The 15,965-nt window shown below is 42.4% G+C and overlaps 2 long non-coding RNA genes and 1 pseudogene across 2 annotated transcripts in view, besides 1 other annotated feature; 1 reads left to right on the plus strand and 2 right to left on the minus strand.

The window, feature by feature from the left end:
- Positions 1-15,965, minus strand: part of LINC01494 (long intergenic non-protein coding RNA 1494) — a 29,824-nt gene that overhangs the window by 4,198 nt on the left and 9,661 nt on the right. Inside the window, exon 4 of the long non-coding RNA NR_110238.1 lies at positions 1,828-2,035. This is a non-coding gene — a long non-coding RNA (long intergenic non-protein coding RNA 1494). The remainder of the gene's footprint in view (positions 1-1,827; positions 2,036-15,965) is intronic.
- Positions 3,844-4,013: an enhancer, noted in NCBI's record as "active region_17136". NCBI's record gives its function as "activates an Ori minimal core promoter by ATAC-STARR-seq in GM12878 lymphoblastoid cells {active_cell/tissue: GM12878}" and the evidence as "EXISTENCE:reporter gene assay evidence [ECO:0000049][PMID:35858748]".
- On the plus strand, positions 4,149-15,713 carry LOC124906119 (uncharacterized). Its single transcript, XR_007088090.1, has 2 exons — positions 4,149-4,438; positions 15,550-15,713. It is a non-coding gene; the product is annotated as an uncharacterized LOC124906119 (long non-coding RNA).
- On the minus strand, positions 11,173-11,276 carry RNU6-642P (RNA, U6 small nuclear 642, pseudogene; annotated as a pseudogene).

The raw sequence follows: 15,965 nt of genomic DNA on the forward strand, positions 1-15,965 counted from the left end.
TGCCTCAGCCCCTGTAATAGCTGGGCCCCAAAGGTGGTCCGCCTTGAATCATGCTTCACACCTGTGTATTGTCCCCTCCCCTTGAAAGGGCCAGTCCATGCTTCCTTTTCACTGAGTGTGCTGTGGAAGCGAAGCTGCATGACTGCTGAAGAGAGGGAATAGGAAGCTTTGCAGTTTTTGCCTCAGTCGCTCGGAATGTTCACTCTGGGGCAAGCCAATCACCGTGTATGAGGTCTGTCTACCCAGAGACTACCATGCTATGAGGAACCCGAAACAAGCCACATGGGAAGGCTGTATAGAGAGAGTAATGCCTGGGCAGGCCCCTTCAGTTCCAGCCAATTCAGATGAGGTGCCAGACATGTGACTTTAAAAAGTCATCTTGGGGCTGGGCTCAGTGGTTCACACCTGTAATCTCAGCACTTTGGGAGGCCGAGGCAGGCGGATAACTTGAGGCCAGGAGTTCAAGACCATCCTGGCCAACATGGCGAAACCCCATCTCTACTAAAAATACAAAAAATTAGCCAGACATAGTGGCACATGCCTGTAGTCCCAGCTTCTCGGGAGGCTGAGGCATGAGAATCACTTGAACCTGGGAGGTGGAGGTTGCAGTGAGTGAGATTGCGCCACTACAGTCCAGCCTGGGTGACGAAGTGAGGCTGTGTCTTCAAAAATAAATAAATAAATAAATAAATTTTTAAAAAGTCATCTTGGATATCCAGCCGAGTTGAGCCTTCAGATGACTCCAGCCTTAGCCACCATCTAACTGAACTGCTTGAGAGACCCCACGTGAGAACTGCCCAGCTGACTGTAGTCAACCCACAGGACTGTGGGATGTAAATGGTTATTTTTAAGCCACTGAATTTTGGAGCGGTTTGTTACTCAGTAATAGAAAATGGAAACAGCCCCTCTGTGGTCCATGTTTCCCTCTCTCTGGAATGTACCCCAACTGTCCTGCCTTAGCTCCATGTCCACTCATATCTGCTCTTGTCAAAATCCTTCCAGTGAGCATGGCACAGTGCAGAGGAAAGAGCCAGGCTTTGGGGTCAGCCTGTGCGGCGGGAGGGATTGAATCCTAGTTTAGTCTCTCACTATCCCTGTGACCTAAGGCAAAGTCATTAAGTTCTCTGGACCTCAGTTTCTGTATCTGCTATATTGAAATAAAAACACTCATCTGCTGAAGTTGTTTTGAGGACTAGATGTAATATATGTAAAGTACCTAGACGTCTCACCCATTTTAGTCTCACTGAATGGTGGCCTTTAGCAGACACTTAGCCTTCTAGCCTGGCATCAAATGGCACTTCTGAGGTCTAATTCTCATCACTTATAAATTATATGGTTTTGGAAAATTCCTTAAATTTCTCTGAGCCTTACTCTCCTCATATGTAACATACCTAGACCCTTAAGCCATGTCCCTTAACCGGCATGGCATCAGAAATCCTTGGAAGAGGAAGTAAACCATGGCCACAGTTGGGGTTCCCCAGTGTCTGGTGGGCTGGGGGTCTGTAGTGGATGGCAGACTGCAGGGGAGGAACAACAGAGGCCGGAGAGCTCATCACCCTGAGTGAGAAAAAGGTTTCACTGGACAGGGAAGGGGTCCGCCGAACAGGGCAGAGGGAGGAGTGCTATTTGGAATGTTGTGAGGCTGGGCATGACCACTGGGGCTTGGTGCACCTCTACCCTCACTCCCTCAGGCCTCAGGGCCTTCCTGGTGGAAAGGGAAACATTTGGGGTATAGGGCAAGAACGGGCTCGCTAGGGCACAGACATCTCTGCTGTGGGAACTCCTTATGAAAGAGCTGAGAATGAGAAACAGAACATGCTTCCCCACCTCAAGGAGAGAGAGATGTCAGAGAACCATGGACCAGGGGGCAGGCAGAGAGGCAGCAAGTGACGGTGAGATGAGTGGCATTGGCAGCAGCCCCGACCATGTGGGCAGCAACCCCACCCGGCTTCTTCTCAGACTCTCACTGAAGGTGAGGGCACGTGGAGATGTGGGAAGTTCCAGATGAGAGCACACTGTATGATCCCAGTGGCAGCTGCAAAAACAGGCAAAGTTAACTTATGCAGTTGGAAGGCAGGATAGTGGCCTGTAATCCCAACCCAGGAGGTCGAAGCTACAGTGAGCTATGATCATGCCACTGCACTTAAGCTTGGGTGACAAAGTGAGACCCCATCTCCAAAAAATAAAATAAATAAAATAAAATAAAATAAATAAAATGAAATAAAAAGGCATGATAGTGGTTATCCCTGTAGGAGATGCAGTGAATAGAGGGAAACAGGAGAAGGGTTTGGGGAGCTGGTAATGATTTGTTTCTTCCTCAGGGACCTGATTACACTACTTTGTTCATTGTGTTAAAAGTTAAGTGCACATAGGATTTGTGTATTTTTCTGTACGTTACTTCAATAACAAGTTAAGTCTGGGTGTGGTGGCTGTAATCCCAGCACTTTGGGAGGCCAAGGCGGGTGGATCACGAGGTCAGGAGATCGAGACCATCCTGGCTAACACGGTGCAACCCCATCTCTACTAAAAATACAAAAAATTAGCCGGGCGTGGTGGCGGGCGCCTGTAGTTCCAGCTACTCGGGAGGCTGAGACAGGAGAATGGTGTGAACCCGGAAGGCGGAGCTTGCAGTGAGCCGAGATTGTGCCACTGCACTCCAACCTGGGTGACAGAGCAAGACTCTGCCTAAAAAAAAAACCAAACAAACCCAAGTTAAAACACGTGCACATGCACACACACACAGCCGTTTTGGGAAGAAGAGAAACAGTCATTTCCCAGTTCAAGCCCTTTGAAGTGGCACCACATAGTGAAGTGGGTAAGAGATTAGGGGGCTGGCTAGGTGCGGTGGCTAATGCCTGTAATCCCAACACTTTTTGGGAGGCCGAGGTGGGCGGATCACCTGAGGTCAGGAGTTCGAGACCAGCCTGGCCAACATGGTGTAACCCCATTTCTAGTAAAAAAAATACAAAAAATGTAGCTGGGTATGGTGGTATGTGCCTGTAATCCCATCTACCCAGGAGGCTGGGGCAGGAGAATCGCCTGAACCCGACAGGCAGAGGTTGCAGTAAGCCGAGATCACGCCACTGCACTCCAGCCTGGGCAATAAGAGTGAAAACTTTGTCTCAAAAATAAATAAATAAGATTAGGGGGCTGGAGGCAAGGACCACATGGTGTCTGGCCAGACTTTACATTTCTTCCTCCATTCATTCACCATTCACTCTGGTTTATTAAGCACCTCCTGCACTTTGAACACTGTACAACACGTGAGAGGATAAAAGATTATTAACAGTAGCAGTTTCCATTTATTGAGAGCTTACTATGGAGTAGGCACTGAACACTCACGATAATTCTATGAAGTATTATTATTAACCCCATCTATCAGTTGAAGAAAAATGAGACCCAGAAAGGTTAAGCAAGTCATTTAAAGTCACAGAACAAACAAGGTTCCTGGATTTTCCTATGCACCTGTATCTGTGTGGACCCAAAGCCCCGGCACTTCACAATGAACTCCAGCGTCCTCTAGAAATCTAGGAACCGAAGGACTTCTTGACAAACTGCTCTACGACAGTAACGAGGCCTTAGAGCTGCAGCCAGACTGACTTCGAGTTTCGGCCGCATCCTTTTCTGTGACCCTCAGCAGGTTCCTTCACTCTTTTGAGCCTCAGTTTCCCCAATTGTATAACGAGGGTAAAAAACCACGCCTTTCTCTCAGGGTTATTGTGGGTATTCATTGAGAAGACGTGTGTGGAGCCCGGTGTCCGGCACCCAGTGAGAGCCTGGAACAATCATTAGGATGTCTGAGTCCTTATCACTCGTGCGCAGCACAACACGACCGTGGGCACAGGGTTGAAGGCGGTTCCCTACGCCTAGCCTCTCGATAGGAACCTTCAGGGACGGGTGGACTTAAAGGAGCCGGTGGCCTTAAGAGTCCAGTCGATGCTGCCACGTGATGGGCCTGGGGGAAAGCCCCGATCCCAAGCGCCAACAGAGCAGCCGACCTCAGCCAACCTCAACCAACACGTAGGCGAGGATGCCCAGGGTGAGCGCCAGCGGCGAGAAGACGCGCTATCGCGAGATCGGTGGGACCTACGCGTTTACAGGCCGGAAGTGAGGGGCGGGCCTAAGGGGGCGCGCTCCTTTTGAAACCTGAGACGGAGACCTGCGGAGGGCGAGGGCTGGTTGGAGGTCGCTGTCCTTTCTGGGAACCAAGCAGGGGTCGCAGGAGGGCGGGGATGGGTCAGCGGGGATCTCTGAGTGGGGTTCGGCTGAGAGAGGCCACAGTTTCATCTTTGGGAAGCTACCCTGGGCCGGCCACGCGCCGTGAGCCGGACTGGCGACGCCCCCCTGCCTCCACCGTGCTCCTTCACCCGAGAAATTCAGCTCAGCCCCAGCCTCTCGGCAACCTCCCTTTGGCTCCGCCTTTTAAAGGACCTTTACGGTAAATAACCCCGACGCTTAGGAGAGCTTCCTCTTCTGGGCCCTCAAACTTACCCAGGCCTCTTCTATGGACATGCAAGAGGTCTTAGCGACGTGTTCACACGATCACAGTTTAAAAAATATATATAAGTAGCAAAACTAAGGTATTTTAAACCAAATCTGTTCTTAACAGATTTAAAGATTTTAACTCTTAACAGGTTTAAAGAGACCACTGTCTTTTTCCACTGTGACTTTGCCTATCTGGAGGCATTGGAGTGGCTGTGAGCATTTTTAGGCATTTTGGAGTAGGGAATACACTGAGTTTGAGTTTATGTGGCTCGTGTGTATACTTACGTTTTTGCTAGCCTTCCAGGAATACCCCTAGTCCCCACTGTGCTGAATTACAAGCACAGTGACCTGAGTGTGTCAGAAGTCTTTTGGTCATAGATGTCCAGCATCAAAAAAATGGGGAGATATATTTGTCACAGTACAAGGTAATGTGAAGTTTCTTGATCGCTTATGGCTCATAACAAAAGGCTTGGTAGTTTCCTAAGTTTGACAGTCATCCTAAAATAAGGAGTTGGACAACTGGATCTTTTCTAAGCTAGCAGCGATAACAAATTTTGATCCACCATTAGAGAGAGGAATGACTCAATTATTTTCCTTTTCTCTCCATAGAATGACAAAAATGTTGTTAAAGAGGCCATGAAAGACTACACAGCCAAAAAATGTAGTGAGAAAGTGCTTAGCGATATGCCAGGCAGTTAATTTAACAAATAGTGTTTTTTCAATTTTTTGTGTGTGATGTTTTTGGTATGAGCTTTTTCAATTTTGTAGAGTGATGTAATTTCTTTTCTCATTTTAAATATTTATATTTGTACCTACTTTTGTATTTTAAATTTTCTATTCTTTTTCTTAACGAATACCATGAGATTATATAAGCTCAGGCCCCCAAATCTACATCTGCCCTTGCATGGTTGTTATCCCCTCCTAACCACTCTGCTCAGGGCAGGGCATGTGTTTATTCTCCTAATTTTTGAGATGAGGAGATGGAAGCCCAGAGAGGTCAAGTCTCTTGCCCAAGGCTTTGCTACTGAGACCAGCAGAACTAGAACTAGAACCCAGCTCTTTTGGTTCAGTTCAGACGTCTGGTCACACCAGAGAAATGTCCTAATCTAAAACATTTCACCATCTTCAGGGAGTGGAGTTGAAGTGTGTCTACTTGGCCTGCCTTTGGGTTCTGGATTGTACCTAGCGCAATGAAGCTAAAAGGGAACGAATTGTGTTTCTAAAGTGCCTCCCAAATCTCAGAGGATGGCAGCCCGCTCTGTGTTCTCCCACCCACCTCTCCCCCAGCAATGAAAGAAGGCTAGCATCTGGTAGGAGACAACCGCTGATGAACTTCAGCCATGAGACCTCTCTCTGTATCAGGGTGGGAAGTATGGAATCCTTGAACAGAAACAGAATCCGCTGGTGAACCGGCTGTGCGTGAATATGCATGGGAACATGTCTTTGTTATTTCTCAAGCCAAGTGTATTTTTGGTCTGTTTCCCTGGAGACTTATAGGGAATAGGGAGAGGCCTTACCAAGTGTAGTATAATTTTGCCAGCTCTACTTCCTTTCCAATTCCCCAAATTAGTCACCCCATCTCTCCACTTGGACTGATTTTTCCAAGGTCACTAACAACTTCTTTTTGTTAAATCGAACATTTCAGTCTTTATCTTTAATCAGCTCTCCCTGCTGCGGGTGTTCTGCACCCAGGCTGGAGTGCAGTGGCACGATCTCAGTTCACTGCAACCTCTGCCTCCCAGGCTCAAGCGATCCTTCTGCCTCAGCCTTCCTAGTAGCTGGAACCGCAGGCTCGTGCCACCATGTCCGGCTAATTTTTTGTATTTTTTGTAGAGACAGGGGTTTCGCTATGTTGCCCTGGCTGGTCTTGAACTCCTGAGCTCAAGTGATCCTCCCACCTCAGCCTCCCAAAGTACTGGTATTACAAGTAAGCCACTGCACCTGGCCTACCAGTGGTCTTTTCAAATGTAAATCTGATCCACCTCCACTTAAAAATTCATCATTGCTGCTCATTGCTTTTAGGATAAAGACTCAGTTGAACCCAGTCATCTCCAGTGTAGTCCCAGTCACTCATATTGATCTTTCATTTCTCCCATGGGCCATCCACCTCCCTGACACAAGGCTTTTGCACATGTTCCTTTTATTTATACCTGCTATTTCCAGACATTGTTTTGGTGCTGGGGATATGACAGTGAACAAAGCAGGCAAACATTCCTGCCATTCTAGAGCTCACTTTCTCGTGGTTGCTTTTTGGTTGGAATGTTCTTGACCTTTTTATTTTGTTTTGTTTTGTTTTTGTGTTTTTGTGTTTGTTTTTTCATAGGGAGTTTAGGATTTATTTATTTATTTTAGAATAACAGCTTTATTGAGATATAATGCACACACATTAAAACTCATAAAATTCACCCATTTAAAATGTGCAGTTCAATTTAGGATATTCAGAGTTGTAGGCCAGGTGTGGTGGCTCACACCTGTAATCCTGGCACTTTGGGAGGCCGAGGTGGGTGGATCACTTGAGGTCAGGAGTTCGAAACCAGCCTAGCCAACATGGTGAAACCCCGTCTCTACTAAAAATACAAAAAAATTAGCCAGGTATGGTGGCGGGTGCCTGTAATCCCAGCTACTTGGGAGGTTAAGGCAGGAGAATTGCTTGAACCCGGGAGGCGAAGGTTGCAGTGAGCCGAGATCGCGCCACTGTACTCTAGCCTGGATGACAGAGTGAGACTTGGTCTCAAAAAAAAAAAAAAAAAAAGAATATTCAGAGTCATGAATATTGATTCTACCATCACCACAATCAATTTTGAAATTGTTTTATCACCCCAGAAAGAAACCTTAAACCCATTAGTAGTCACTGCCCCCAACTCCTCAGCCTAGACAGCCAGTCTACTTTCTATCTCTATGGATTTGCCAGTTTTGTACATTTCATATAAATAGAATCATGTGGTGTTTCGTGACTGGCTTCTTTCACTTGGCATAATGTTTTCAAGCTTCGTCCACGCTGCCATGCCGTAGCATGTATCAGTACTTCAATTTTATTGCCAGGTAATATTCCATTGTGATAGATCACATTTTGTTTATCTGTTCATTCGTGGAAGGACATTTGGGTTATTTCCACTCTTTGGCTATTATGAATAATGATGCTATGAACATTCATGTACAATTTTTTGTATGAACATACGTCTTCATTTTCTCGGGTATAAACCTAGGAGTGGAATTGCTGGATCCTATGGTAGCTTTATGTTCAACTTTTTGAGAAACTGCCAGATTTTTACAAAGTGGCCGTACCATTTTACCTTCCTACCAATAGTATATGAGAATTCCAGTTTCTCTACATCCTTGCTATTATAGGTTGAATTGTGGCTCCCCAAAATTCATGTGTCGAAGTCCTAATCCCCAGTACCTCATAATGTGAAATTATTTGGAGTCATTTGGAGTCATTATATTAATAGAGTCATTATAGATGCAATTAGTGAGGCTGAGATGAGGTCTTATTGGAGTAGGTTGGGCCCCTTATCCAATATTACTGGTGTCTTTTATAAAAATGGGAAATGTGGACACAGACACGCACACAGGGAGAATGGCACGTGAAGACTGGAATTATACTGCCATAGCCAAGGACCTACCAGAAGCTAGGAGAGAAACCTGGAACAAATCCTTCTTTGGGGCCTTCAGAGGGAGCATGGCCCTCTGATAACTTGATCTTGGACTTCTTGCCTCCAGAACATGAGACAACAAATTTCTGTTGTTTAAGTCACTCAGTTTGTGGTACTTTGTTATGGCAGCTTTAGCAAACTGATACACTCTCTGACACTTGTTATTTTCCATTTTTGTAGTTATAACCATCCCACTGGGTGTGAAGTGGTATCTCATTTGATTTTGACTGGCACTTCCCTATGCAAATGATGTTAAGCATGCTTTCATGTGCTTATTAACCATTTGTGTATCTTCTGATAAATGTCTATTCAAATCCTTTGCTTATTTAAAAAAATTGGGTTGTCTTTTTACTATTGAATTTTAGGAGTTCTTGATGTAGTCTAGATAGAAGTCCCTTATTAGATATATGTTTTGCAAACATTTTCTCCTATGCTCAGGTATCTTTTCACTTTCTTTTTTTGTTTTAGAGACAGGGTCTTCCTCTGTCACCCAGGGTGGAGTGCAGTGGTACTATCATGGCTCACTGAGCTCACTGAGGTTGCAAACTCCTGGGCTCAGGAATCCTCCTACCTCAGCCTCCTGAGTAGCTAGGACTACAGGGGTGTGCCACCAGGCCTGGCTAATTTTTTTTTTTTAAGAGATGGAGTCTCACTATGTTGCCCAGCCTGGTCTTGAACTCCTGGCTTCAAGCAATCCTCCCACCTCAGCCTCCCAAATTATTGGGATTATAGGCTTGAACCAATGAGCCCAGCCCTGTTTTCACTTTCTTGATGGCGTCCTTTGAAGCATAAAAGTTTTTAATTTTGATGAAGTCCAATTTATCTATTTTATAACTTTATTGCTTGTTTTGCTGTTGTAGCTAGTCCCCTTCTGTCTTGCTCTAGCTCAAATGCCACTTCCTCGGGGAAGATTTCATTTCTTTAATATATGCAAACTCTGTTTGCAATTATAAATTTTTTTGAGTGAGATTTGTTTAGTTGTCCTCTCCTCTGGACTGTAAATTCCAAGAGAGTAGGGTCCGAGTCAGGTGTCTGTCTTCCCATTCTGTCCCTATCTCCCAGCACAGTGACGGCTTGGTAGCAGAGCAGGTGCTCAGAATTGCTGAATGAATAAATGAATAAATGCTGAGTTGACTCTGTGGACCATTTCCTCCATGAAATGCTTTTTTTTTTTTTTTTTTTTTTTTTTGAGACAGAGTCTTGCTCTGCTGCCCAGGCTGGAGTGCAGTGACATGATCTTGGCTCACTGCAACCTCTGCCTCCTGTGTTCAAGTGATTCTCCTGCCCTAGCCTCCCGAGTAGCTGTGATTACAGGCACCCAACACCACGCCTGCCTAATCTTTCATATTTTTAGTAGAGATGGGGTTTCACCATGTTGGCCAGGATGGTCTTGAACTCCTGACCTCAGGTGATCTGCCCGCCTTGGCCTCCCAAAGTGCTGGGATTACAGGTGTGAGCCACCGTGCCTGGCCAAAACGCTCTTTATTTGGCCTTGAGAATACCCACGTCCTGCTTTTCCTCCTACTTCTTCAGCTGCTCCTCAGTCTGTCTGCTGGTTCCCTTTCATTTATTTATCCAGCAGGTTGAGACAGAAGGTTAAGTAGGATTGGGATTGGGCACAGGCCCTCCTCTCCTTTTACCCTTCACACTCTTTGCTTCCACTACCAGGGCTTTAATGACCATTTTTAGACTAATGACTCTCAAATGTGTTTCCTACCTAGATGGCTTTCCTAAGCTGCATATCCAACTACCTACTGGATGCCTCTAGTAGAATGTCATATAGATTCCTAAAATGCAACGTGGTCACAGCCTTTATCTTTCCTTACCCCCGATCCCAATCCTGCTTAACCTTCTATCTCAACCTGTTGCCCTAAACCCAAAATCCAGGCATTGTCTGTCTTAGATCAGTTTCCCCAGAAATAGACCCTGAGATGAAGATTAGTATGCAAGTGATTTGTCAAGGGAGTCCTCCCAGGGGAGAAGCAGGACAAAACATGGAGGTAAAAGTCAAGCAAGAGTGCAGTTTTAGGCCAAGCCCCGCAGAGATACTTGGCCTAATGCCTCAGGGGAACACTTGGAACCTGCCCTGACTCCATTCCAATTGTCTGGAAGAGTTTGTGTAGAATTGGTATTATTTCTTTGTTAAATGTTTAGTAGAATTCACTAGGGAAGCCAACTGGACCTGAAGTGTCCTTTGTGAAAAGATTTTTAGCTACACATTCAATCCCTTTGATAGCTATCCAGTTACTTTGATTCTCTGTTTCTTGAGATTTTTGGTAAATGAACCCAAAGAATGTGTGGCAATGCCTAGATTTCAGGTTTGGGGCAACAGGCTGAAATAGAAGGTTAAGCAGGATTGGAATTGTGGGTAAGGAAAGATAAAGGCTGTGGCCACGTTGCATTTTAGGAATCTATATGATATTCTACTAGAAACACACAAAGAATGTGTTCATTTTATCTAAATTGTCAAATGTATTGCCACAAAGTTATTCACAAAATTCCTTTTTAAACTTTTAAATATCTTTAAAGTCTGTTGTGATGTCATTTGTTTTATTTCTGACATTGGTAATTTGTGTCTTCCCTCTTTTTTTCCTGATCATTCTGGCTAGAAGTTTATCAATTTCATTGATATTTCTCAAAGAAACAAGTTTTAGTTTCATTGGTTTTCTCTATTGTTTTTTAAATTATTCTGTTGAATTTAGCCAGGATGATGCCTCACACCTGTAATCTCAACACTTTGGGAGTCTGAAGCAGGTGGATCACTTGAGGTCAGGAGTTCAAGACCAGACTGGCCAACATGGTGAAACCCTGTCTCTACTAAAATACAAAAATTAGCCAGGCATGGTGGCACATTCCTGTAATCTCAGCTACTTGAGAGGCTGAAGCACAAGAATTGCTTGAATCCAGGAGGCGGAGGTTGCAGTGAGCCAAGATTATGCCACTGCACTCCAGCCTGGGCGACAGAGTGAGCAAGATCCATCTCTAAATAAATAAAAATAAATTATTCTATTGAATTTAGAATTACTTTATTTTTTTTAATATGGAACACTTCACAAATTTTCATGTCATCCTTGTGCAGGGACCGTGCTAATCTCTGTATCATTCCAGTTTTAGTATATGTGCTGCTGAAATGAGCATGATTGAATCCATGGTGTCTGTTTTGAATTTTTTAAACTTCCCATTTAAAAAATGTATTGATTTCTGCTTTGATATTTATTATTTCCTTTTTATCTACTTACTTTCAGTTTTACTTACTCTTCTTTTTCTAGTTTCTTAAGTTGGAAACTGAGATCATGGATTTTGGACCTTTTTTTTTTGAAATGGAGTCTTACTCTGTCGCCCAGGCTGGAGTGCAGTGGCACGATCTCATCCACTGCAACCTCCACCTCCCAGGTTTCAAGCAATTCTGCCTCAGCCTCTCGAGTAGCTGGGAATACAGTCGCCCGCCACCATGCCTGGCTAATTTTTGTATTTCAGTAGAGACAGGGTTTCGCCATGTTGGCCAGAATGGCCTCGAACTCCTGATCTCAGGTGATCCACCCACGTCGGCCTCCCAAAGTGCTGGGATTACAGGCGTAAGCCACCATGCCTGGTCTCCTTTCTTCTTTTCTAATAGAGGTTCTTAGTGCTGTGCATTTCTAAGTACTGCTTTTAGTAGCACCCCACAAACTTCACTGTTTTGGATTTTTATTTTTATTCAGTTCAAAATACTTTCTAACTTATATCTTACTTGATCCATAAGTTATTTAGGAGTATGTTATTTAATTTCCAAATATTTGGGAAATTTCCAGAGAGCTTTCTGTTAACGATTTCTAATTTAATTTCATTGAGTTTAGAGAATATACATTGTGTGTCTTGAATAATTGTAACAATAATTTTAATTGTTTTATGCCCCCAAAATGGCCTATCTTGGTAATTGTTCCGTGTGCACTTGAAAAGAATGTGTATGCTGCTGTTGTGAGTGGAGTGTCCCATAAATGTCAGTGAGGTCAAGTTGGTTGACAGTGTTGTTCATATTTTCTATAGTCTCATGAGTTTCTGTCTATGTGTTCTGTCAATTATTGGGAGAGATATTGAAACCTCTGAATATAATTGTAGATTTGTCTATTTCTCCATACAGTTCTCTCAGTTTTTCAAAACCAGTCTTGAAACTGGTTTTAGGTGCATAAACATTTAGGACTATTATGTTCTCTTGGTGAGTTGACCCTTGTATCATTGTAAGATGACCTTCTTTATTTTCTCTGCAATCTATTTTATCTGATATTAATATAGTCACTGTGAATTTCTTTTAGTATTGGCATCATATGTCTTTTAACCTATTTGTTTCTTTATATTTAAAGTGTGTTTCTTTTAGGCAGCATGTAGTTGGGTCTTTTTTTAAAGAAAATCCAAACTGACAATCTGTGCCATTTAATTAATTAAATTACATTTAATGTGATTTTAAAGATATGATTAGGTGTGTCAGCACCTTGCTATTTGTTTTCTATTTGTCCTATCTATTCTTTGTTTCCTTTTCCACCTGCTTTTGGGTTGACTATTTTTGTATTTTTAAAAAATTCTGCTTTATTTTCTTAATTGGCTTTTTGCTATAACTCTATTTTTTTTTTTAACAGGGTCTTGCTCTCTTGCCCAGACTGGAGTGCAGCAGCGTGATCACATTTCACTGCAGCCTCCAACTCCTGGTCTCAAGCAGTCCTCCCACCTCAGTTTCCCCAGTAGCTGGGATTACAAGTATGCTCCACCATACCTTGCTAATTTTTAAATTACTTCAGAGACAGGATCTAGCTCTGTTGCCCAGGCTGGTCTTGAACTCTTGGCCACCAGTGATCCTCCTGCCTTGGCTTCCCAAAGTGCTGGGATTATAGGAGTGAGCTACCACACCTGGCCTCTAACTCTTAATTTCATTATTTTAGTGGTTGCTGTATGGTTTATAGCATACATCTTAAATTTATCATAGTCTATGTATTCAAGTTCACTAATCATTTTTTCTTTAAAATCTAATCTGCTAATCCCTTTCAGTGTATAATTCATCTCACACATTGTAGCTTTCATCTCTGGATGATCAATTTAGGTTTTTAATTTTATACACCTTCTAAGTGTCTACTTAACTTTTGAACATACAAAATATAGTTGTAACAATTGTTTTACTGTCCTTGTCTGATAATCCTAACACCTATGTCAGTTCTAGGTTGGCTTCCATTGATTTATTTTTCTCCTCCTTATAGGTGATATTTTTCTACTTCTTTGTAAGCCAGGTAATCTTTGATCAGGTGCCAAACATTGTAAATTTTACTTTGTTGGGTGCTAGATTATTTTGTATTCCTTTAATTATGTTTGAACTTTGTTCTGGGACGCAGTTACTTGGAAATGGTTTGATCCTTTTGAGTTTTGTTTTAAGCTGGGCTATAAAGGAAATCTCAGCAAATTTTACAGGATTGAAATCTCTGACAAATTAAACTAGAAATCAATAACAAAAAACAACTAGAAGATTACAAATATTTGGAAGTTAAGCAACACACTTGCTAAGAATGTTCTCATGGGCCAAAGAAGAAATCACAGTGGAAATAAGACAATGTTTAAAACTAAATGATAACAGAGAAATGGCGTATCAAAATTGTGAGTTCATTGAAAATGCTTACAAGGAAAAGAAAAAAAAACCTGTGGGGGTATTTTGATCATTGTTCAATGTATATTGGAAAAGATGGCATTCTGCAGCTATTGGGTATGATAATTATATGTCATCTAGATCAGTTTTGTTAATCATGTTATTCAAAATCTCCTATATCCTAATGTTGATTTCTTGTCTACTTATTCTACCAGTTATTGAGAGCTATATGTTAAAAAATTTCCAACTATTATTATGGATTTCTCTTTTTCCTTTTAGACCTGTCAGTTATTACTTTTATGTTTTGAGGCTGTTTTTAATTGCATATATAGTTAGGATTTTATATTTTCCTATTAAAATTTCCCTTTCGTTATTATGAAATGTCTCTCATTATCTCTAGCAATACTTTTTTCCTTATGTTTATGATACCAGTACAGATACACCAGCTTCCTTTTGGTGTTTTCATGACTTATTTTTTTTCTTTTTTTAAAAAAATCGCTTTCTTTTCTTTCTTTCTTTCTTTCTTTCTTTCTTTCTTTCTTTCTTTCTTTCTTTCTTTCTCTTTCTTTTTCTTTCTTTCTTCCTTCCTTCCTTTCCTTTCTTTCCTTCTTTCTCTTTCTCTCTTCCCTTTCCCCTTCCCCTTCCCCTTCCCTTCCCTTCCCCTCCCCTTCCTCTCCCCTCCCCTCCCCTTCCTTCTTTTCTTTCTTTCCAGAGTCTCGCTCTGTTGCCCAGGCTGGAGTGCAGTGGCACAATCTCAGCTCACTGCAACCTCCACCTCCCGGGTTCAAGTGTTTCTCATGCCTCAGCCTCCCAAGTAGCTAGGATAACAGGCGTGTGCCACCACACCCGGCTAATTTTCGTATACTTAGTAGAGATGGGGTTTCACCATGTTGGCCAGGCTGGTCTTGAACTCTTAACCTCAGGTGATCCACCCACCTCAGCCTCCCAAAGTGCTAGGATTACAGGCATGAGCCACCACACCTGGCCAAAAATCCCTTTATTTCCAACCTTTATGCATCCTTATGTTTAAGGTGTGTCTTCTATAACAGCATATAGTTGTTTTTTTTTTCTTGTCCAGTCTGAAAATCTTTGCCTTTAATTGATTTATATTATGGTAATTACTGATACTGTAGGGTTTAAAGTATACCATTTTGCCATTTTTTTCCATTTTTCACATCTGTTTTTTGTTTCTTTTTACCTCTTTCTTGCCTTCTTTTGGATCAATCAATATTTTCCTAATTATTTCATTTTCATCCTCTATAAATTAGTAGTCACGTGTTTGCTATTATTGTTATTTTATTACCCACATATTATAGCATGCATCCTTGGCTTAATTAGGTCACCCTTGAATTAGTACTTTCACCCTTTTCTAAATAACTCTAGGGACCTTATGACACTTTAATTCATTTTAGCATTCTCCTGGCTTTCATGTTATTGTTGTCATGTATTTTTTTTTTTTTTGAGACAGAGTCTTGCTATGTTGCCCAGGCTGGCCTTCAACTCCTAGGGACAATGGATCTGCCCTCCTCAGCCTCCCGAGTAGCTGAGATTACAGGAATGTGCCACCACACCTGGCTACAGCAAGGCTTTTGACAAAAATGGTTGAAAGAATTCAAAACTGAGGATCCTAGTGCTGAGGGTGGGATATTTTGTGTTATTGGTCAGTAAGAATGTCTCTTACTTGAGATATGAATCCTGAAGGTGGTAAGAGTTGATTTATTTAGACAGAGTTAATTTTAATTAGTGAAAACTGAAGAACTGACTTGTATTTTGGTCTGACGTATGATTGTTTCAACTTTGCTGCAGTAGCACCTACAAGAGGACCAACATTCTCCAGGAAATTCTGTCCTTTAAAACCATGAGATGAATAATCTTGGTCTGGAAGATATTCATAGAAAGAAGCTTAGAATGTTTGATTTTTGAGCATGAATTAACTGTACAGTCATCAATTAAATAAGCTGATCCACTGAGTAATTGTTGAGATGATCCTTCTGGATGCTGAATAATGCTAGCCTAGAATGGGGATTTGACATTGATATATTCTTTCCTATTAACAAATCCAGTTTTCTTTCTTCCTCCCATCCTCCCTCCTTCTTTCTTTCTTCCTTTCTTTTCCTTTCATTTGCCTTCCTTTCCTTCCTTCCCTTCCCTTTCACAATATTTTACTTTAAAAAAATTATGAAATCCATCATGTACACTTCAATGTGTTAAATATATATGTA

This window comes from Homo sapiens, chromosome 2 (genome assembly GCF_000001405.40).
Source record: "Homo sapiens chromosome 2, GRCh38.p14 Primary Assembly".
NCBI lineage: Eukaryota > Metazoa > Chordata > Mammalia > Primates > Hominidae > Homo > Homo sapiens.